We start from the raw sequence: 24,318 nt of genomic DNA, 5'->3' as shown, positions 1-24,318 counted from the left end.
TTAACATTCAAAAGAGATGCTTTTTAAAAGTCATATAAAATCCTTTAAATAATCTGTTATCTTGAACACTTTAGGATTCTCAGGATTTTTCCCATTGAAAATGTTTCTAATTTACTGTGTTCATATATGTGAACATGTTTTCTTTTCTATTAAAAAAATGCATGAATAGAAATGTACAAAACAATTTTCGGCTGTATTAAAGGGATAATGATTAAACTAAATAAAAAGAACTAAAAGAAAATGTAGAAAAATAAGAAATAATATAACATATATTATTCCCTTTAAGAAGAGAAGTCCTTCTTAAAACAAGACCTACTTTAGAATAAATAATAAAGCAATTATCAGCTTGATTATTTAAATGTTAAAAAGTTCTGAACAACCAAAAAAAGTGCTATAAAGAAAGTTAAAATCTAATGAAATGAAAGACTGGGAGAACATATTTTCAATATGTGTAAATTATCAATAACCAGAATATTGTCAATCTTTATTAAAAATTAAAAGGAAAAGACAAAATCAAAATAAGAAAAGGAACAAAGAATTAATTTTTAGCCAATTACCAGATGGCAAAATACAAATAACTAATAGAGCTATGTAAAAATGTTTACTTGTACTGTCATATCAAAAATGTAAAGTAAGCCAATAATGAAATACCTTTCCCACTAATCCAATTGGCAAAAATGTAAACATCAAATGAAGAAATAGTTCTAAAGCACATGCTTTGTGGAAATGTAAATTTATACAACATTTTAACATAACAATTTTATAGTATATACTTACATTTTCAGTGGCCACACCCTTTAGCTTAATAATTCCATGTCTTACTATCTAGCCTAGATTGTACCTCTATACAAAAATCTGTTTAGAATTAGTATTGTTACAGAATTGTCTGTAATAATAAACAAAAAACTGCCTGTGTCCATAAATAATAAAATACAGCCATATTTTTATATACGTAACAATGAAATTAAAGAAAAAATAGTAATATCTAACACTAATTCACTTCCTTGATTAAGTTTTAAGTGTTTCATTATTTTTGTTGCTGTTGTAAATGGGATTGTTTTAAGAAAATGAAGAATACCCATTTTGTTTGTTGAATAGTTTGTTGTTAGTGTATAGAAACACAACTTATTTTTGTTTGTCAATTTTGTATCCTGAAACTTTACTGAATTTGTGTACTCATTTAAACAATTTTTTGTGGGGTCCTTAGAGGTTTCTCCATATAAGATCATTTCAACTGCAGAGAGAATTTTATTTCCTCTTTTCTGATTTGGATGCCTTTTATTTCTCTTTCTTTCCTAATTACTCTATGTATTATTCCATTTTCACATTGCTGTCAGAACGCCTGAGACTGGGTAACTTGTAAAGGAAAGTAGTTTAATTGACTCACAGTTCCATATGGCCGGGGGTCTCAGGAAACTTACCATCATCACAGAAGGATAAGCAGGCACGTCTTACATGGCAGTAGGTGAGAGAGAGAGCAAGAGCAGGGAAACCTGTCTTATAAAACCATCAGATCTCGTGAGAACTCACTCACTATCATGAGAACAGCATGGGGGAAACCCCCCTCATGATCCAATCACCTCCCACTGGGACCCTCCCTCCACATGTAGGGATTATGGGAATTACAATTCAAGATGAGATTTGGGTGGGGACACAAAGTTAACCTTATCACTCTAGCTAAGACTTCCAGTACTATGTTGAATAAAAGTAATGAGACTGGGCATCCTTGCCTTGTTTATAATCTTTGAGAAAAGGCTTTCAATTTTTCACCATCAGATATAATGTTAGGTGTAGGACCTTTTATATATTGCTTATTATATTGAGGTAAATTACTTCTTTACCTAGTTTGTTGAGAGTTTTTCTCATAAAAGTGTGCTCAATTTTTTCAAATGCTTTTTTGCCTTTACTTAGATAGTCATGTGACTTTTTACCCTTCATTTTGTAAGTGTGGTATATCACATTAATTAGCTTGCCTATCCTGAACCCTCCTTCATCCCAGAAATAAATTCCCCTTGGTCATGGTGTACGATTCTTTCAATGTACTAGTAAATACAATTTCATAGTCTTTTGTTGAGGACTGTTATACCTATGTTCATCAGGAATATTAGCCTATAGTTTTCTTTTTCATTTAGCCTTTCTGTCTGGCTTTAGTATCAGGGTAATGATGGCTTCATAAAATGAGTATGGAAGTCTTTGTTGTTCAATTTTTTGGAGGAGCTTTAAAAGGGTTGGTGTTAATTGTTTTTGAAATGTTCATAAAATTCACAAATGAAGCCATCTGGTCCGGGGCTTTTTTTGTTGTTGTTTAAAAAGTTTGACTGCTGATTTAATTTTCTTACTTGTGAGATACTGAATAAAGATGGCAGGTAGGAGGCAGGACTAGCTTGCAGCTCCCACTCACACAGGCAGAGCAGCGTGTGGCGACTCGCATTGTGAACTTTTACTCCAAGAAGTACCACAGCAACATACCAGGAAAGCTGAGAGAATCCACAGACCCTCTGAAGGAACTGGATCACTGCTGCAGGCTCCCTGAGATGCTGAAAAACTGAGTCTCAGCGGGGAGGCTGGTGGTCTGAGGCAACTTCTCAGCCCTGGTCACCAGAAATAGACTCTGTGCTGTTGGTGGGGCATGGTGGGAGTGAGACCAGCCTTTAGGACTGTGGGCTGCATGGGAGTGGAGTGTGGCATGTGACTGCAGGCTTTCCCCTACTTCCCTGGTGACCTGTGTGACTCAGCAGAGGCAGCCGTAATCCCCCTGGGAAAATACCTCCATTGGCCTGAGAACCACACCCCCATGCCCCATATCAGCTGCAGTAAGCCCTGCCCAAGGAGAGGCTGTGCTCAGACATGCCTATCCCTGCCCCCACCTGGTGGTCTTTCTCTGCCCGCCCAGGTTGCCTAAGACAAAGGACACAATCTCTTGGGAGCTCTATGGCCCTGTCCACCACCTGAGAAACCTCAATACTTAACCAGGCAAGTTTGCTTCCTTCCTATAGTACCACAGCCAATGTGCTCTTGAAAGCATCACCTCCTGGCTGGAGGCCGACCAACACAAAACCAGCTCACTAAACAAAAATACAACCAAGGACCCTCAAAGAGTCTGCTTCACTCTTCTGTTTCCTCCACAGAAGCTGGTATCCACAGCTGAAACACCTGAAGATAGATCACATCACAAGACTCTTTGCAGACATTCCCCAGTAGCAGCCTGGAGCCCAGTAGATCTGCTGGGTGGTTAGACCCAGAAGAGCAAAAACAATCATCACTGCACTTTGGCTCTCAGGAAGCCCCATCCCTAGGGGAAGGGGGAGAACTCCATTTCAAGGGAACACCCTGTGAAACAAATCTGAAAAGCAGCCCTGGAGCCCCACATCTTCCCTCTGATATAGTCTACCCAAGTGAGAAGGAACCAGAAAAACAATTCTGGTAATATGACAAAATAAGGTTCTTTAACATCTCCAAAAGATCACACCAGCTCACAAGCAATGTATCCAAACTAAGACAAAACTCTTAATTGCCCAAAAAATAATTCAGAAAGTCTATTAGTAAGCTAAGCAAGGAGGCACCGAGAAAGGAGAATTCCAACTTTAAAAAATCAAAAACTTGATACAGAATAGGAAAGAAAAAATCTTCAGTGAAATAGCAGAAATAAAAGACAATCACAACTTCTGGAAATCAAGGACACACTTAGATAAATGCAAAATGCACTGGAAAATCTCAGCAATAAAATCAAACAAGCAGAAGAAAGAACTTCAGAGCTCAAAGACAAGATGTTCAAATTAACCCAATCCGTGAAAAACAAAGAAAAAAAGAATTTAAAAAAATGAACAAAGCCTCTAAGAAGTTTGGGACTATGTTAAGTGTCCAAACCTAAGAATAATTGGTTTTCCCAAGGAAGAAGAGAAATCTAAGTTTGGAAAATATATTTGAGGGAATAATCTAGGATAACCTCCCTGGCCTTGCCAGAGATCTAGACACCCAAATATAAGAAGCTCAAGGAACACCTGGGAAATTGATCACAAAAAGATCATCACCGAGGCACATAGTCATCAGGTTATCTAAAGTCAAGACAGAGGAAAGAATCTTAAGAGCTGTGAGGCAAAAGCATCAGGTAACCTATTAAAAAAAAAAAAACCTATCAGAGTAACAGCAGCAGATTTATCAGCAGTAACCAAGCTAGAAGGGACTGGGGTCCTGTTTTTAGCCTCCTTAAACAAAATTCAGCCAAGAATTTTGTATCCAGTGAAACTAAGCTTCATAAATGAAGGAAAGATACAGTCTTCCAGACAAACAAATGCTGAGAAAATTTGCCACTACCAAGCCAGAACCACAAGAACTGCTAAAATGGGCTCTAAGTCTTGAAACAAATCCTCAAGATACACCAAAATAGAACCTCCATAAAGCATAAATCTCATAGGACCTATATAATAATAACACAATTAAAAAAAGATATTCAGACAACAAATAGGACAATGAATAGAATAGTACCTCACATCTCAATACTAACATTGAATGTAAATGGCCTAAATGCTCCACTTAAAAGATACGGAATGGCAGAATGAATAAGAATTCACCAACCAAGTTTCTGCTGTCTTCAGGAGACTCACCTAACACAAGGACTCACGTAAACTTAAGGTAAAGGGGTGGAAAAAGATATTCCATGCAAATGGACACCAAAAGCAAGCAGGAGTAGCTATTCTTACATTAGACAAAACAAACTTAAAAACAACAGAAGTTTAAAAAGAGAAAGAGGGACATTATATAATGATAAAAGACTATCCAAAAGAAAAATATCACAGTCCTAAATATGCATGCATCTAACATGGGAGCTCCCAAATTTATAAAACAATCACTGCTACACCTAAGAAATGAGATAGATGGCAACACAATAATAGTGGAGTATTTTAATACAGTCGTCACTTAGTATCCATGGAGGATTGGTTTCAGGACCTTCCTCAGATACCAAAATCTGTGAATTCACAAATCACTGATATAAAAATGATATAGTATTTGCATATAGTATGCACATCCTCCCATATACTTTGAATCACTTCTAGATTACTTATAATACTTAATACAATGTGAAAGTTATGTAAATAGTTGTTATACTGTATTGTTTGGGGAATCACGACAAGAAAAATTCTGTACGTATTCAGTAGAGGTGCAATTAAAAAATATTTTCAATATGAGACTGGCTGAATCCATGCATACAGAACACACGGATAGGCAGGAACATCTGTATTCTCATTTGCATTACTCTTACATTGCTTGCCACTTTAATTTCATTTCCACAATAACTGGATATTACTTATAAGAGTATTTCTTAATTTTAAATTAGGTAAGTTTTTTTTTGTTTTCAAAAGCTCACCTTTTAATAATTTATTTCTATTTCTTAATTATGATCATATCTAAAATTTAGATATAGATTATGTCCATCATTTGTAGTCCATAAGTGTCTCTGTATATCTCTTTATTGATATTGCCTATGCATACAAATATATAATGAAATTTATTGAATATATTATTCAGTTACCTTATATTTTATCTATTTTTTGCTCATGATATCTATCTAATCTTAAAAGAAATATACTAAAATCTTTTAATCTTTAAAGGTTTTTTATTGCATTACTAGTAGCATTGGCTTTGAATATATTCAGCTGCTATTTATTTCAGTGCCTAAGAATTTTTTATTATAATATTTCTTTCTTAACTTGGAGCTCTTTATTAAATTCTGCACCTCAATATTCTTTATTGCTATTAACCTAAAATTCAACTCTTTATATTATTTATACTGCCACTTTCATTTTGCTTTCCTTGTCTTGTCTCTCTTTGATCATATCTTCATTTTCAACCTCTTTCAATGTGCAATTTTAAGTGTTTCTTAAAAACAGAAAATAGCTAGGTGTGAAGTTTTACTCTAGTCTTGCTATCACTGTTTTTTAGAATCATTGAGCATGCTCACATTTAATGTAGAAACTTACTTATTTCATTTTATTGTTTTGTCCCATTAACATGTGCAATTTATTTTGCTTTATTACTTCATCTGTTTTTGTAATTACTTATGCTGTTTTATCCCTTGTTAACTTGGATATTTGTGTATATAGTTACCTTTCCTTTCCCCAAATTCATGTATTTCCCCCTTCAAGAGGCTCTGCTTTCTGAAGGGACAGCCTCCTGAAAATTTCAGAATACATAGTCCCCCTCCTCCTCCTGTCCCAAGTGTTGCTGAGATAATTTAGGACTGACTTTTTTCGGTATTTTTTAATATCTTACTTTATTTTATTTTACATTCTGGGATACATGTACAGGACATGCAGGTTTGTTACATAGGTAAACGTGTGCCATGGTGGTATGCTGTACAGATCAACCCATCACCTAAGTATTAAGCCCCACATGCATTAGCTATTTATCCTGATCCTCTCCCTTCCCCTACACTCCCAACCCCAACAGGCCCCAGTGTATGTTGTTCCCCTCCCTGTGTTCATGTGTTCTCATTGTTCAGCTCCTACTTATAGGTGAGAACATGCGGTGTTTCGTTTTCTGTTCCTGAATTAGTTTGCTGAGGATAATGGCTTCCAGTACCATCCATGTCCCTGCAAAGGACAAGATCCCATTCCTTTTTATGGCTGCATAGTATTCTATGGTGTATATATACCACATTTTCTTTATCCAGTCTCTCATTGATGGGCATTTGAGTTGATTCTTTGCCCATACATTTGTTGTATGAATAGTAATACAACAAACATATGCATGCATATATCTTTATAATAGAATTATTTGTATTTCTTTGGGTATGTACCCAGTAATTGGATTGCTAGGTCAAATGGTATTTCTAGTTCTAGGTCTTTGGGGAATCACCACACTGTCTTCCACATGGCTGAACTAATTTACATTCCCACCAACAGTGTAAAAGCATTACTGTTTCTCCACAGCCTCACCAGCATCTGCTGTTTTGACTTTTAGTTTCAGTTTTCTCCTTGCAGTACCTCCCTTCCATGGCAATCTTTATCTCTTAACTTCCTCATTCACATTTAGTCTAAGTTTTTTTTACAATTAACTATACATATTGCAAGATTCTTTGCTTACCTTGTTCTCTTTTTCACTTAATCTTCTGCTATTTGATATTCCTGTTCTGATTCATTTGGTTTGAAGAGTTCTTTTCTAATATTTTATTTAAAAGTGGTGCTTGGTGATATATTCTCAGAATCCTTGCCTAGCCTCAATTTTTTTTTCCATCATGATGATAAATGATACTTTGGAAGCATATGGAGCCTTTGCATTGTCATTATGGCAGTGGTCTGCATTACACTATCTTCTAGCTTAATAAATCCAAAGCCACCATTTATGCTCCTGTGACTCCATCTCATACAAATAAAAGCACCAGCTGATAAATACATATGTATAAATATATCAGTTGTGGAATCATTTATAGAAGTAAGAAGCAACTGCTGGTAAAAATTGTATAGAATGATAAGGGATTTGGTGAATTATTATGGTACAAGTATACTTGAAATATCATTTGGAATTTTTAAGGAATGAATTAAGGCTCTACTAATGCACTTAAAAGAATTTATGTGAGCATGTGTTAATTTTTTAAAGCCAGAGAAGAGAAGTAATATGAGATCATTTTTGCATAACAATGACAAATAAGTCTTATATATGACTGTGTGTTTTGTGATTCAGTTGTTAAATAAACATAGAGAAGAGTGTGGGAAAATGTGCAAAAAGTTATTGATATTGCATAGATGAGGTAAGGGGAATTTGGAAAAGAGAAGGAAAGATGTATTAAGTAAAAGAATAAAAGGTGTGATAAAGGCAGTGTATGAGGTATGATAGTGCATGTGTAAATATTCATACGTGTCAGTATGTGGGTGTCTGCATGTTTGTTTATATATTTGAAAGGAGAATCACCAAACCACTCATGGTGGTTTCCACAGGGTGTTGAGATTTAAGGTGGTTTTTATTCTCTTCCTTATAATGGTATATTCTGTTTGGTATATACATTGAGAATTACAAATTAGTCAATCTAGTAAAAGAAAGCTGTTTACATTTTGTTAAAAAAGAAAGATGTCATATAAAATAGTGAAAACATCTTATACATATCTACTCATCATCGTATTTATATAAATGCAACACCTATGATCATGAAAAGTATAACGCTGAATTAATATAATCATCCATCCATCTATCCGTCCAGAAAATAATTCCAATGGACAATTAGGAGTTAGAATGAATAATTTATACAGTATCACAACCACAGAGTTAGATATCTCTACAATGTATACATTTTTGATATATTATGAATCTATAATTTATCCAAATATTATTAATAAAACATATGCTATGTTTTATATTAACAAGAACATCAGAATGTTTTTATGAGCATATTTCTTCTGTTTTAATGTATTCATTTTTAAATATTCTATAATTACCCTCTTCAAATATTCCAGCTAAACTCTCTAGAGGTAGAGCTCTGTCATTATTTATAATTTTACAAAGACCCTTAATATTTATAGTTTTATATGTCTTTGCTTTCATTTTCTAGAATAATGTATGTTTATATTCTATATTAATAAATCTAGCTCAGCCATGCTTTTCTTTAGGTGGCAACCTGAACTCCATTTTAGAGTAGTCAGACAGATTTGTAGATTCTAGAGGAGGAAACCTCAGTGTTGTTGGATTGGAGTGAACAAGAGAAAAGGTAACAGGATATGAAGCAGAGAAAAAATGGGAATTTTAACCATAGAAGACCTTTAAGGTAATTTTCAGGACTTTGTTTTTTACTTGATTAGAATGGGGACTCATCACACCATTTTGCATAGAATACTGACATGATCTGACATAGATTTTAAAGAATCACTATTCTGTGTAGTAAAAAATGTAGAGAGCAAAGACAGGAGCAAGGAGAATATTTGTGAGACTCTGGCAATGATTCAAGTAATAACTAATGGTGGCTTACTCCAGTGTGGTAGCAGAGGAGGGAGTGAGAAGTGGTTGGAGTCTGGATATACTTTGAAAGGATATATAAATGGGATTCCTAAGAGACTTAATCTGTGATGAGAGAAAAAAAGAAACAGTCAAAGATAAATGTAGAATTTTGGCCTGAGCCACTGAGATTGAAAGATAGTGGGAAAAGCAAGATTGTGGTGGAGAATGAGGAATCAGGACTTGTTTGGGACTTGTTTGTGACTTGTTGTGTTTAAGATATATATTAAGATATGTATGTTAAGATATATATATATATATGATTTTTGAATTTTAAGACATAAGACTTTTCAGATAGATATATATGACTTTTGAATTTTATGCATAATTGTTTTTAATCACTACAAGAAAAAATTCTTAGATACTCACATCTGTTTAATTCTAGGTTAGAATCTAGCTTCATATCACTTAAATCACCTGAAATAATTATTGTCCAGGGAAACTTCACAGTGGCCACTTGGCAGCTATTTTCTGCTGCTCTCCTGCAGTGTCTTCTAGATAACTATGACATACCTTATGGTCTCATGACAGACAAACTTAGAAAATGTTTCACTCTTTCAACATTTTTGTATTTTTGCATGGTTGCCTAGAGCAAACAGTCTCACTTCTAGTATGACTAGACATTGTAGTTTTTATTTCATCACATTTTCAAATTATATCACTTTTGTAATGTCACTTGTATAAGTTCTGTCTCATCCTAATTTCCATCAGTGTCTCATCTCATGTTTTATGAAAAGAATAGCCACTGTCACCTACTCTTCTCTGAATACATTTTCCCTTCATAAAATTTCTATTTTTTTCTTTTGAAATGTTTTCTGGTTGATCTAGGGAAATTACAGCCAGAATCTTGTTGTGAAAGAGCATCATTTTCTAAATCAAAGAAAAAAAATAGTCCTGGAAACAAGATGGAAGATTCTCTCATCCAGAATGAGTGCTGCTGAAGTGAGAGGGACAATTCTGAAGTCTACAAACAGTGAGGCTCCACTTTTTCAGAGGCAGTTCTGATGCTGTGCTCTACAAAGAAAGGTGATTGAATCTCTTCATAAGGACTCATAAATTTCAAGTGTAATCATTCCATCAACGCTAAACTCGCTACCATCTGAATGAATGACAAGAACAGTGAAAAGTCTTCAAACCAAAGATGATCCCTTAAATTAGGAAAAGTTTTGAATATTATTTTCTAGTTAATCATGGTTCCAGACATATTCTCTATAGAGTATTAATTCTAAGCAATGGAAGGAATACTGATACAAATAGTGATAGATTATAGATAGGTAGATAGATAGATAGATGGATAGACAGATGACAGATAGACAGATATCATATATTGAGCCCACATTAACTGCCAGAAACTCTGTTAAATGATGTTTATTTCACTTAATCCTGAAAGTAATCTATAAGTAGAATTTTTATTTACATTTTACAGATAAATAAAATGAGGCTTAGAGAAGAAAAATAGTGGTAGATATTGGGCCAACGACAGGTTTGATTCCAAACCCAATACTCATGAACACTACACAACACTGTTTACTGTTTATTGAGCTGATACTGATGATATTCAATCCTAATAAATACTATCATTCCCATTTTATAAATGTGAACATTTGGCCTTGAGGAGATTAAAAAATTGACATAATAAGTTGCAGAACCAGGATTCAAACACACAGTGGTCTGACCCCAGTGTCAGTGTCTTTTTCACTGTTCTGTGCTCCTGAGTATCAGCAAGACCCTCCAAAATTTTATGAGTTAATCTGATAAAATCAGTTCATAGGAGATGCAATAAAACCAAAAGAAAAAACCACCCTAGGAAGCAGAGTGGCTTCCAGTTTACAAACTGGCTACTATGCAAAATGTTGGTAGTATTAATACGTCAAGCTCAACTACGTAGCTCCCATGGCAGCCAAGTCCCAGTGATGACAGCAGATGTATTAGATTATTATAAGTTGGCACTTCTGCTATTTCAATCATGCAACAAGTTCATCTTGTTTTGACTCATTGCTCACCAAGCAACATTCTGATTTTAATTTGGTTTCCTTTGTGGCTTTCTACAGCAACACTAACTAGTTCCCCTGGTATCTATGACAATTGTATTTCTCATGTTAATTTAATGACTAGGCTACTTAGTGAACAGATCATTTCCGTTTTGAATTTGGTAATATTAGTCTCCTAGAGTCACTTAGTAACTAACCAACTTCTGGTGATGCACTGGAGTGATCAGACCCTGAACTACAAGGATTTACTAAGGTAATGCTATTAGGTGAATTACTCAGGGCCACACCCCAGTTACTGATTGTGAACCCATTATCCCACTGTGATCCCAAAACTACAGCAAAGAAAAAATCAATTTAGTGATCCGTTATTGGTCACTGTGTATATACATACATGAATAAATGTTTTTTCCAATTTCTTTACTACAGTTTGTTTCAGTGTTCCAATGCCAATAAATAAATATTATGTTTGGATTCCCAAAGATAAGTTTCCTTTCAATATTTACATATTAATATTTATAACTAGCACATGTGTGGCTTAATATAATTCATAAGCTATTTTTCTCCTTTATGTTAGCCTATTGAGTTAGGTATATTTTTATATTGTGGTACATGTTTTATACTTACTGTTTTAACTATGGCATATATTATTTTCTCCCATTTCATTCTGAAAATTGTGGGAAAATGAGGATTCTGTTTGGCTTCATTAGCCTTTTTGGAAATATAGCACAACTATATATGGTGTTAAAGAATTAGATTACATTTCAGCACAAGAAAATTTATTTCATCAGGCCTGAGTTCCTAAGGAATGCAAAAATCCCTGCCCACTTGTTCTAAACTATCAAATTAAAAAGGATTAATATTTAATCAAAAGAAATATCATTCTGTATTATTATTAGGTAAAATAATTTTACTTTGCACTTGCTGGTGCTTCCTTTATAAGCCATGAAAATGTTAACTTGATGCTCCACTAAGTGTTTTGAATTATCAAAAATATTTGCCAACTTCATCTTTCTGAAGCTAATTCATCAATAGCCTGAATATTTTTCCAACTAACAAAAATATGCTTATAAAAAGATAACATTCAAGCCATAACCTGAAAATGCCATTTCATTAGAAGTATAGCCAAAAGTAATGTCTACATTCTTAGGCTTGTTTTTTCAAATTTTTTTTATCAGAAATGAGGTCCTATGTATTAGTAGAAATGTACCAAATATAGTATCAAGAATTACACTGTCCAATCAAGCCATTCTGACTTATAAAATGCTGTAAAAACACTCCTTAATATTCAAGAAACATAGACTTTTTAAGGATAATTGAAACTATGTTATGAGTACTTTATATCAAGTCACCATATATCACTGTGTCAGGTGAAATTTTAACTCCATAAAAATAAGAAGTAAAAAAGATTTGAAGTGGATTTTTTTAAAAACTTGAAAGAAATTGTTTTCATTGTCTAAAGATTATACAACTTTTTCCCCTAGCGCAGCAATGTTGAAACTTGATATACATCACAGAAAAATAATAGCAATCACAAGAAATACAATAAATTATAACATGATACAGAAAAATATTGAAAGTTTCTCTCTTGTTCAATGTGGGAACTCTTACTCTACACCTTCTGGTTTGAGCAGTACTTGTAGGCATTCATGGAGTTTATGCAGATAGTAGAATTCCATATGCTTTTCCATGTAAAGTTTAGTATTTCTGAAAAAAAAACAAACAAAAAAAGCCTCCACATTGGTCTTTCCATTCCTCCAGACCTTGAGAAAAATTTCTATGGCAGTGTCAAAATGTTGCTTGGAAGTAACACTTAGCAGATAAGAGCTTTTCTGTGTGTAAAGAAGGTCACAATGTTGAGCATGTCAGCCGTTTTTTTTTTTTTTTTTTTTTTTGAGATGGAGTTTCACTCTTGTTGACCAGGCTGGAGTGCAGTGGCGCGATCTCAGCTCACTGCAGCCTCGCCCTCCCAGGTTTAAGCAATTCTCCTGCCTCAGCCTCTTGAGTAGCTGGGATTACAGGCATGTGCCACCATGCCTGGCTAATTTTGTAGTTTTAGTAGAGACAGGGTTTCCATGTTCGTCAGGCTGGTCTCAAATTCTTGACCTCAGGTGATCCACCCATCTTGGCCTCCCAAAGTGCTGGGATTACAGGCGTGAGCCACCGTGCCCAGCAAGCATGTCAACTCTTATAAAGCCTTCTCAGCAGTGTATAATGTGCAAGTGGTACATTCAGATTGTTTTAAAGAGCAACTAAATCAGCAGGCAAAGCATATTTTTAAAAGAGTGCAGTTTATCTCCCCACTTCACAGGGATTTGGGGTTATAGACAGTAAATTAACTCCCTGAAGAAATGCTTCCCGTTGTGTCATGCATTCCAGATTCCTAAATACCTTCTGCAGACGTTGCAGTTTGCCAACACCTATTTTACTGTGGACTGCCATCTGATCCAACCATCCAACAGTCTGATGAGCCCAGTGCAGTTACTTGTGTGCTTGCTCTATTAACCTATTCCAAAACGCAGTTGCTTTTGACAACCACATCACCTTCTGGCTCCTGGTGACCTTATAGCCAGGTAAACCTTCCAGGTCTTAGCAAGAATCACTACTAAACCAGTGAAATCCACTTTGAACTACCTTAGGAAAATAAACAAAACAGTGAAACTACTGCCCATTGTCCATCAGTGTTATTAGTGCTTTAAAAATCAAACCACCCTGAGTCATCAAAGTGGAGAAGGCACTATTTAGCCCAGAACTATGAATTCCCGGCATAGTCATTAAGTGCAAATGTCCTCTGACGCTGCTGTTCCACTAGGTTTATGCCTTAATGCGAATAAGAAAATTAACCATGATGGGTACAGTAAGATGCTTTCAGAGATGAAAGACCTCTCAAAAGGAAGTTTCTGTTATCATTTATATGGTTGACTACCATTAAGCACATAAACACATGGAACACGCAAAAAGTGGGATCTTTAATCCTTTCTGCTTTTGTTCAAGAAAGTGATTGAAGGAAAAACAAGAGAGGTTAGGACTGCCATGTTTCAGTGAGATGAAAAAGAAAGAAGCCTGTTGTGTGTGTCAACATCTTGATATTTTAAAGAAAATGTAATCATTTCAAAATAATTATATCACTTTCACACCATAGTTTCAGGAATCAAGAAAATGGGCAAAATGTTTTAAAATTAAAATTAACTGAGAATAACAGTGACAGGGCTAGGGAGCAATAAAGACCTCTCTATCCATGAAATTCAGCACAGTAAAAGTCATCTGGTTTATAATTTTCCACCTAATGTTTTCTATGTGATTCCTGGTACAAACCCCATTCTTATTAGTGGACTGGCAGCACCACTATTTATAAATAGGCTATGATCCAAAACTCATTTATCCCTTAGAAAATGCTACAAATGGTTAGGTTTCTTGGCTATTGCACAAAATACATTTAACCAGGTAGCTGAATTACTGCAGCTTTCCAGTTTTAAAATAGATTCATATGCAGTTGTAATAATAAAACTAAATGAAACCAAAAATGCAAGGTTTTAGTAGTAGCTTTAAAAATGTATTTTCAATGTCAGTACTAGCAGAGAGGTTTGAGGAGAAGAGGAGGAAAAGGTAAAACTGAAACATCTCTGGAGAGTCGAAGGTATCATCTTTGACTTTCAAAGGTATTAGGAGAGAGTGACATTGTTTTTTGTTATATGTAATTTCACTCTGTATATCAGGATATGCTAGTTCATATTCAGGACTATTACTGCATTCTAAATATCATTAGGGCATTCTGTGTGTTTTTGTTAGGGAGGGAATGTTTAGTAAGTCTCAGCTAACAAATTGAATGATATAGAGAAAACTGGAATGGAAAATTGTTTTAAATAGTAAAATACAAAGATGGTTATTAGGAAGTCCCTGGGAAAAAAGAAGGAGAATAAAGAGAAAAGGTAAATAACTATTGACAAATTTAATTGATTCCCGAAGGAAAGGTATGGGTCCAGCTTTCACAAGTTGATTCCATTTTTGTTCCTGTAGATGCTGTATTATGAACTCAGGTTTAATTTCTGAAAAGACATTTTATACAAACCAAGAGATACCAAAAAATGATTATAAAATTAATGCACAAAAGTAAAAACAAATACATAGTTTACAGACATGCAAAATAGCCACCTGACATGCTACAAAAGCTACATTATGTTTGTTTGTTTGTTTTTTAGTATAGACCAGACGAGCTGAGACTTCTTAAAATATTTATTCAGTGAGTATTTATTGAGCACCTACTTCATGTTGAGCACTGGTATAGGCACTTAGGATACATTAGAGAGCAAAAATGACATCTCTCTTGAGACTCTTTTCATAATCCAATGCTCTTGCTTTCAATAAAGCATTCATTGCTAACTCCTGTAAAAAAAAAAAAAAATCTACATATCTGCTCTGTAACCAGAAGTAGGCCCTTCTTTCCTTAGGAATGCAGTATTGCTAGTGTGCTGGCTTTCTTAAAAGTCTTGTTTCATCAGTTTTAAATATAAATTGCAAATACCTGCCTTCCCTTTTAATTATCCAGACAAAATTTTCTGAAAATGACTTGGCTACTTCTATAGCCATGTTTCAAGCTTTCCCTTAAATGTTGGTGCTAGGCCAACAATTTCTTTTTTGCAAGTAATCAAGCCATTCATTCCTTTGTGTCAAGCACCTTTCCTAAAATTCATTGTTTGGTTTAGACTTTAAATTTTATCAGCATATGTATTCTCTGAGCAGGCATTCACAGAGTTGCACGTGTTCCCACCTCATCATTCAGCCAATGCTTTTTCATGCCACCATTGATTGAATTGATTTAACATTTTTTTCTTCAAACATTTTCCCTTGTTCTAACAAATTATACTCAGACCCAAAGGAGACAATTTTAACTTGGAATTTAGTTCATTCAGCTTTATTCCAGCCTTTGTATCTGAAGTGAGCTTTTTCTTCACTTTTGTGTGATTTGCCATTCAGTGCATCATATCTCCTTTTCTAAGACATGAAGTAGAGGAATTTTATTTTAAAAACTGAAGAAAGTACAGAAGTGAAGAGCAGTATCAAAAACCATACCTGCACTAAGTGCAATCGCACACCCAGCCAGCTGACTCACTACTGCTGGCAGTCCGCCCCTCAGTACCTGCACTGGATCTGCTGAGGCATCCACAAGAAATAGGGGCCGGCAGGCAGCTCGGATGCAGTGCCATTGGCATTCATAAACTGCACATGCTAGTGCTCTCATAATTCCAGGGTCATCTATATTTAAAATGCTAGTTTCAACAGTGGTATTAACTGCTGTAAGAAATGAAAGGCAGAAGAAACACAAAGGTGAAATAAAGAGGAAGCCCACAGTGATGTTTTGGAAGTGAGGTTTTTATATCTCTGACCTGAATGACTGACTGCTTGCATATCTTTCTCATCAATTGTACATAATTACCAAGGATCATCAGTAGTAGGTCTCTAAAACGTAAATGAGACTAAAGTGATAATAAAAGAACATAGTTGGAAACACACCAACTTGAAATGATTTAGACAAGCTGTCCTATAAATCTAAGAGTGGTTACTACAGACTATTTTCACTATTTTTGAAATGCATTTGGAACTTCTTTTAACCATTAGTGATTCAGGTTTATAAAAGGGATATGTCAGTTTAAAGCATATTACTATATTTATTTTTATAAGTATTAGGTTTATGGATCGCACTTAGAGGCAGCAAGTTTCACATGTTTTACAAATTACTCGTAGTAAAGGCTAGTACTTTGGTTTTTATCTTTTATCTTTTTTTTTCTATTTCTTAAAAATGCCCGAATCTCCCAGAAGTTAGAGTCATTCGGCAATGCATACTGCATAACTAGAATTCATCAAGATACTTCCAGTTGTTGTTGTTGTTATTATTAAGTGTTTTAAAATACTAGCATTAGTTTGCAAATAGATGTCCAGAACCTTTCAAGGTGATTGAAGTTTGAACCTACTATCATTATCTCATCCCACACAGAGCTATTCATCTTTCCTGGGAGGTGCCAGGATATTAGAAATGCATAAGTTCTCAAGGAAAAATGCTGACATGAGCTAAGCACATTTTAGGAATTTACTAAAAGATCAGAAAGCTTATACAATTTAATAAATTAAATTCAATCATGGTTGGAAATAAAAGAAACCTCTGTATGGTAATACAACCTTTCCTAAAGCCTCAATACAAATCACAGTACTGTTTTCATATAAAATGTACAGAATTAGTTTGAAATTTTTTTAATGGTGGAAACAATCTAAGAAATAATTCCCCAGATTCCAGAAACATAGAAACATTTACAATTAAGTATAAATTAGAAGTACTTATGTTAACAATATTTTGCCATGTATACTTTAGGTTAGGTCAACCTACCTAATCATTCCCTTTCCAAAGGTGACCACAAAGTACCAATTTCAAATGATACATGGTATTCAAAGCCATAATGTAAGGTCTATTCCCTTCATTGATTTGCTTCTAAGCTCAATTTTACCAATTCCGGTTTCTCTGATTTTTAACGTGTTAGTTCTAAACACTATTGTCACCTCAGTCCTGCTTCCCTCCTCCAAAATCCATTTGATATTTGGCACAATGCATGATTTGTTTCCTAGGAATATATAAATTTTAAGTAACTATTCGAGATTTTTAGCAACTGATATAGCATGAGCCCCAACCTATCAGAACAGATTGCTCATAAACATTGGGTACTTCCATATCATTACGTACCTGTCTAAGGGTACCCTGGCTCCCCTGTATTTGGATCTAATCTCTCTGGTTGGAGTTATGTTTTTCTCACATTCTGGCCCTAGCATTTGTCTTTTATGAGCTCAGTCCCTGTTGCAATTCTGAGCCACAAGGAATTTTGTCCCCATAATTAGGTAATTCCTACTTGGATCAACCCTCAGCCTTTCTCAAAGGACAGAGAGTGGAAGAGAGGTAGCAGAAGTTGAGGAGCAATGAGTCAAAGCACATTCCCTTTTTATTATTAATATGACTCTTCATTTAAATGTCTCCTAGATGAGACTCTTTCAATCTGTGATTGTCTTTCATTTGCTATTGAGCAGCTGTATGGTTTGTAATAACTGAAATGCCAAAAGCTATTCTTGGGCATTAAAGGTTCTTAATGAAACCCAATATCGAGGAATAATCACACATATAGTTATGATACTTGATAAGAATTTCTGTCATTTATTTTTATTTTTTGTAACACCAATCTAATTCAAAATAATTTGGCATTATGTATGTGATTGCTGTAATAAATCACATACCATCAACACATACCATTTATATTAAAGTGATAAGAAAACAAATGATTTTCCCATTAGCCAAGCTATTATATTATTGAAAGTTGCCCAGGCTGGAGGGCAGTGGTGCGATCTCAGCTCACTGCAACCTCCACCTCTCAGGTTCAAGAGATTCTCCTGCCTCAGCCTCCTGAATAGCTGGGATTACAAGTGCCTGCACCACACCTGACTAATTTTTATATTTTTAGGAGAGACGAGGTTTCCCCGTGTTAGCCAGGCTGGTCTCAAACTCCTAACCTCAAGTGATCTGCCCACGCCAGCCTCCTGAAGTGTATATTTAAACTTTATAAGAAAGAGGTAAGATTTTTCCACCAACTAAAAAGGAGAAAGGAAAGAAATTAACATTTATTTAGTGAATAAAGTATGCCAGGAAGTGTAACAAGCAAGTACTTCAATTATACATTGTCTCATTAAATTTTCACATACATTCTGCAGGTAGGTGTTATTAACTCCCTGAATTCTACGCTCTGCTATAGCCACAGGTCTTTTGCTGTATAGCTCCAGGAGCCAGATAAGTATCTGTTGATTGAATAGATTCTTATTTAGAGATGCGAAAACTGAAGCTCAGGATTAAAAAAAAAATCTTATTCAATGTAATAATCTTACTCAATGTAAATCTTAGTCAATTTCTAATAATTACTAATATTTATGGAGTACCCACTATGTCACAAATAACTTACATGAATCCTCTCATTAATCTTCAGAACAATCTTCACAACCATTGTTCCTATTTTACATGTAAAGGAACTGAGTCTCAGAGAGACTGAGCAACTGGCCTCCAGTTCACACAGCTAGGAAGCAAAAGAAATTCCAGATTCTGGACCAGGTAATGACATTTTAAAGGATGCATGTTCAGCCACTGGGCATATTGTCTACTAAGCAAGGATGGAGATTTGACACCAGATATGGCAAATGCCCAAACCCAGGTTCTTATATGATTCCAAGTCCATACTGAAAGGCACAAACAATCTCAGCCTTTTAGTGACTATATCTCCAAGGCCAACATGCTTTGATCAACTAATCAAAATACCCCATTCTTCTAGACAGAAGTGACAATTCTCACTTATCCTTATAATATGCAAAGTAAGCTTGAAATTTTCTTTCTCAAATTCTATGTTTAAAATAGAACTTTTTCATAAGTCTTTATTTATATAGCAATCAAAAATTGAAAGAAACATCTGAAATGTAAGAATTTCATTTAAATAATGTATTAATGATCCAGTAAATTATAATCAAACCTTTATTTTAATTTAGATCTATCAAAGTCTTTTGATTTACATACTAACCAATTAGCTTGGATCATGGTTACTAAATTATCCTTTATGTAAGGCCAACTTACCCATGCAGAGCATGTGCAGTCCCTGTAGCCCACAAAACATCGTGGGGTCCACGAAAATGTTTTGTTTTAAAATCAGAAGAAATGTAGAAACATTTCATGTTCAAAATTATATTCATCTTTATACACACATAAATATAAAATATAATTTTTAATACTTTGTATAGAGAAAGGGGTCCACAAAGCCAAAGTGCCTAAGATCCATGCAAGTCTTGCAACAGCCCTACCTTTACAAGTGATTTTATTGCTTCCAAGTGTGTTGAGGTGGGTCTCCCAGACAGATAATGAAGTACAGATGTGTTGTTACCTTAGCTCTCAGCTGCCCCAGTGACTCTGAGATTATCTTTGGGTGGTATTAGGTTCCCAGCTTGCCTGATGCTCCAGTTGCTATGATCTTGTTTGACATTGATTTACATCTGTGCAGAGACATTCTTCTCAAAGACTTGATCCTGTGTAAAGTGTCTTTTAAATTTTTTCTGTCCAATATAATAGGCACTAGCCAAATGTTGACTATTTACATTTAATTAAAATTAAGTATATTATAAAAATTCAGTTCCTCTGTCACACTACCCACATTTCAAACACTCAATAACTACCTATGGCTAGTGACTACTGCAATGGGAAATACAGATTAATGAATATCTCTAGCCTCCTAGAAAGTTCAGTTTGACAGTCCTTTTCTAAAGGCTTTCACATCAGCTTCTTTATCTTGTCTTGTCTCAAGATAGTGTTAAGGTTTTCCAATGTAACAGAGAATATTGGGGATTCATTCTTCATTGCAAAGAATGCCACTGAAATTCAAATGACAACAGTCCTGTAGATATTTCATGTTACCTTTTAATTAAAATAATAGAGAAAATTGGTATTATGGCTCCAGATTATGATGTAGTAACCCACTTGTTAGAGCCATAAAGTTGGAAGGCAAGAAAATCCCATGCAGAACTACAAATAAAAGCGCATAGTCCACCAAAATGTATGGTGCCATTATTCACGTCAGGGCATCCATTGCATCCATTTCTCAGAGATTCTCAGAACAGCCACATCCCTTCTTTTAAATTTCTTAGTAAATGACTGGGCCCACACCATTATATTGTCATTTGAAATCCCATCTTTTCTCCTCCTCAGATGGTACACTGCTTTGTCAAGTCAAACATCCCATTTATTTTTCATGGATGTGGCTGGAATAAATGTTCATCCCATGTAGGTAGAAGAGAGAATACACATAAGTTACTCAATCTTGCTGAGCCTCAGGTTTAACCTTTTCCAGGACAATCAAAATTTACATTGTTAAGTTGGATCAATCATAATTCTTGTATGTTATTCTAATAAGGCTCTGTTCTGTCTCCTTTGTCCCTTTTGAGATACATCACCTCTCTTTCTGTTGTATGGATATAGAAAATATGTGCCAAGTCTAACTATTTTTATTAAAAATATGGGCTATTCATTTTTTGTAATATTGTGTAGAGTTTTAATACTCCCAAATAAAAAGTAAATATGTTCTGTTTCCCCAAAAGATACAATAGAATAATTTAGAATATGTTATTGAAATAAACATTTCAACGGAAATATTGTAGTATCGTAGGCTGTATAATAGTCTCCCAAGGATATCCACATCCTAATCTCTGAAAGCTGTGAATGTGTTACCTTACATGGCAAAAAGGACTTTGAGAAAGTGATTAAGTTAGAGACTTTCAGATGGGTAAACCCAATGCAATCACAACTGTCTCTGTAAGATGGAGGCAAGAGGGTAACAGTGAGAGAGAGAGAGATTGAAAGATGTTACACTGCTGGCTTTGAAGATGGAGAATGGGGCTGCCAATCAAGAAATGCAAGGAGTCTCCAGAAGCTAGAAAGGGGAATGGATTCTTCCCTAGAGCCTCTAGAATGGAAGAAGCCCTGCTGACATCTTGAATTTATCTCACTGAAACTGGTTTTGGCCTTCTGACCTCTAGAACTATAAGATAATACACTGCTGTTATTTTACACCGCTCAGTTTGTGGTCACTTGTTACAACATCAGCAGGAAACTAATTCATGTAGTTAATCTTGAGCTAAATCATTTAATTCTTGGTAAAGCACGACAACTAGTATCAGAGACATTCATGAAGGAAATTTCAGTGTTGCCATTTAATCTGCATAATCTTAGCTAAGTAATTTATTCTCTATGAACCTTATATTTTCTCGTTCATGAAATAAGTATGATAATAGCTACTACCAAAAGTTGTTATAAATATTTTGGTCTGGAGGCACCAACCTCTCCTCTCTAATGTTCTGCCTAATAGTATATACACAAAAAGATCTGTAACCAAATAAGTAATAAAGTGCAAGTACATGTTCAAGTTCAGAATATTAATTATCTCTACTTTCTGCAGATATGAAACTGTGGAATGTGACAGAGGCAGCTAGTTACCTTTTAGCTTTCAGTTCTATAATTTCCACTGAATAATTTCCTCCATTTCCGTGCTGTTCTAATTTTGGCCCACAGGTTGTTGCTGGTCAGAAAACTGTTATTGATCTCCAATGAGGGAAAGACAAAAATTAAGGATAAAGTTCTGTATATTGTAGTTGTAATGATGAAATATATTTTGTTCCTTGGGCATTATCATCTGTAATTAAAATATTCAGTTCTGTATTTTCATTTTCAATCCCACAGCTACCAACTAGAACTGATGCACAGCTTGGTTTTGAAAATCAGTTCACTTTGGCTTATCTGAAGTCTTAAATCATCAAATTTCTGAACAAAGCTCCAGCCATGAGTAGGAAAGGAAATATTTAATCTGCAGATAAAATCCAGATTCCATATCTACTTTGACTCAAGAGCAGGACTTAAAACCTGCCACACAGCTCTCGCATAGTTTAATTCTGGAGGAAAATCCCCTTATGTTCCAAGTCTACTCCCAAATGCTGTATTCTGTGATTCTGCAGCAACCATTCACAATTAAACAAGATGGTATAATTGTTATATAATGGTGATCTGAAGTTAAGAGTGTCTCAGAATTACTTTTGAGAATGATGGTTAGGTAGAAGAGCATTATAACCAGGTTATTAGGTCTTCTCAGTGTACTACAAAAGACATGATGAAGCACATGCTTCACACTGTCTGCTTACTTAAAACAAGTAGTAGTGTGAGTGAATACGTGGCCTAACTCACAACCTCACCTTCATAATTTTTTAATTGTTATTAACTGAAGTCCATACTTTATTCATAATTCCTTAGTTTTTATCTAATGTCCATTTTCTTTTTTTTTTGCACAGATTCTGTGAAATTTTATTTTTTGAATTGCAAGTATCTGGAAAACAGATGCAGATTTTTTAATGATTTTTTTTATTTCTTCTAAAAAATGGGATGAATGTGAAGAATGTGCAGGTTTATTCCATAGGTATACATGGCCATCATGGTTTGCTGCACCTATTGACCCATCCTCTAAGTTCCCTCCCCTCTCCCCCAACCCCCCAACATGTCCTGGTGTGTGTTGTTCCCCTCTCTGTGTCCACCTGGTGTGTGTTGTTCCCCTCTCTGTGTCTATATGTTCTCAACGTTCAACTGCCACTTATGAGTAAGAACATGTAGTGTGTGGTTTTCTGTTCCTGTGTTAGTTTGCTAAGGATGATGGCTTCCAGCTTCATCCATATCCCTGCAAAGGACATGATCTCATTCCTTTTATCCCTTTTTATTTTCATTCCTTTTTAGGGTTGCATAGTCTAATGTCCATTTTCTGTTGCACGAGTCTATCCAAAATATCATATTGCATTAGTTATCATGTCTTCTCTTTTTTTTGCCTTTTAATTATACTTTGGAAGAATCCTTTTTTGTTTTTTAATTTCAGAGCAAGATGGTTATTTATCCCTTTATTTATATGTCAGTCACCTATGTTTATTTTTTATTTCCATAGGATTTCGGGGAACAGGTGGTATTTGGTTACATGTGTAAGTTCTATAATGATGATTTGTGAGATTTTGGTGCACCCATCACTGATGGAGACGTCTCCCAAGTTTCATCTATCGCTAAGTCTCACATTTAAAGTGAGCTTTTGCAGCAGAGATAGTAATGCAAACTTCATTCCACGTGTTCTCTACATTTCTTTCCTTATTGCATTTAGGCAGGACCACATGACTTGTTCTGGTCGATGCACTGTTAGCAGAGAATGGCCAAATAGTAATGAGCAGGTGTGAACCTTCTTCTCATTCATAGGAAGCATAGAGACCAGCTGTTGAGATGGCTGAGCCATACGGTCAAAGAGATTAGACCTCTGAGTCACCACCTGAGATGGGGGCACTGAATAACTATTTGGTCTACCATCTGTATGGGGAAATGAATAAATTTCAGATGTTAAACCCTGCAATTATGTTTGCTTGGTACTGAAGAATAAGCCTATCCTACTCTGTCTGTGGCATCATTAAATTGTCAAGTAAAATAGTTGTGAAAGTCATAAGTAAAATGGGAAAATATACCCAGTCAAAATTCCAAAGTCTCAGAATCATGTAAATCATTTATGTTTTATTTTATTTATCCATCACAAAACACAATTTTATTTTCTAAGTAAAAAATGGTAAAATTGCACCAAAAAAATCTCTTGAGGTTTCCCAAACATCAAAAAGATTAAACAACATTTCAAAAAGTTAACTGCAAATGAATGTTAAGTACACTGCACTCTGCACTTAGCTTCTCCCTTAAAGAGAGTTTAAACCTTAAATGTAAAGGTGT

At 34.9% G+C, this 24,318-nt stretch overlaps 1 long non-coding RNA gene across 4 annotated transcripts in view, besides 6 other annotated features; it reads right to left on the bottom strand.

Moving 5' to 3' along the window:
- LOC105374140 (uncharacterized) overlaps window positions 1–24,318 on the bottom strand; it is a 266,957-nt gene that overhangs the window by 44,043 nt on the left and 198,596 nt on the right. The gene's annotated exons all lie outside the window — the stretch shown is intronic.
- Window positions 2,269–3,468: an enhancer, noted in NCBI's record as "P300/CBP strongly-dependent group 1 enhancer chr3:144156282-144157481 (GRCh37/hg19 assembly coordinates)". NCBI's record gives its function as "activates an origin of replication core promoter dependent on BRD2, BRD4, P300/CBP, MED14 and CDK7 cofactors, with strong dependence on P300/CBP, by STARR-seq in HCT116 cells {active_cell/tissue: HCT116}" and the evidence as "EXISTENCE:reporter gene assay evidence [ECO:0000049][PMID:35650434]".
- Window positions 2,576–3,207: an enhancer, noted in NCBI's record as "H3K27ac-H3K4me1 hESC enhancer chr3:144156543-144157174 (GRCh37/hg19 assembly coordinates)". NCBI's record gives its function as "activates a minimal SCP1, AML or CMV promoter by ChIP-STARR-seq in naive and primed H9 embryonic stem cells {active_cell/tissue: H9 hESC(naive and primed)}" and the evidence as "EXISTENCE:reporter gene assay evidence [ECO:0000049][PMID:30033119]".
- Window positions 2,584–2,873: an enhancer, noted in NCBI's record as "active region_20671". NCBI's record gives its function as "activates an Ori minimal core promoter by ATAC-STARR-seq in GM12878 lymphoblastoid cells {active_cell/tissue: GM12878}" and the evidence as "EXISTENCE:reporter gene assay evidence [ECO:0000049][PMID:35858748]".
- Window positions 6,839–6,918: an enhancer, noted in NCBI's record as "active region_20670". NCBI's record gives its function as "activates an Ori minimal core promoter by ATAC-STARR-seq in GM12878 lymphoblastoid cells {active_cell/tissue: GM12878}" and the evidence as "EXISTENCE:reporter gene assay evidence [ECO:0000049][PMID:35858748]".
- Window positions 11,070–11,149: an enhancer, noted in NCBI's record as "active region_20669". NCBI's record gives its function as "activates an Ori minimal core promoter by ATAC-STARR-seq in GM12878 lymphoblastoid cells {active_cell/tissue: GM12878}" and the evidence as "EXISTENCE:reporter gene assay evidence [ECO:0000049][PMID:35858748]".
- Window positions 11,160–11,239: an enhancer, noted in NCBI's record as "active region_20668". NCBI's record gives its function as "activates an Ori minimal core promoter by ATAC-STARR-seq in GM12878 lymphoblastoid cells {active_cell/tissue: GM12878}" and the evidence as "EXISTENCE:reporter gene assay evidence [ECO:0000049][PMID:35858748]".

Source organism: Homo sapiens, chromosome 3 (assembly GCF_000001405.40).
Source record: "Homo sapiens chromosome 3, GRCh38.p14 Primary Assembly".
NCBI lineage: Eukaryota > Metazoa > Chordata > Mammalia > Primates > Hominidae > Homo > Homo sapiens.
This window is presented reverse-complemented; position numbering and strand designations above follow the sequence as displayed.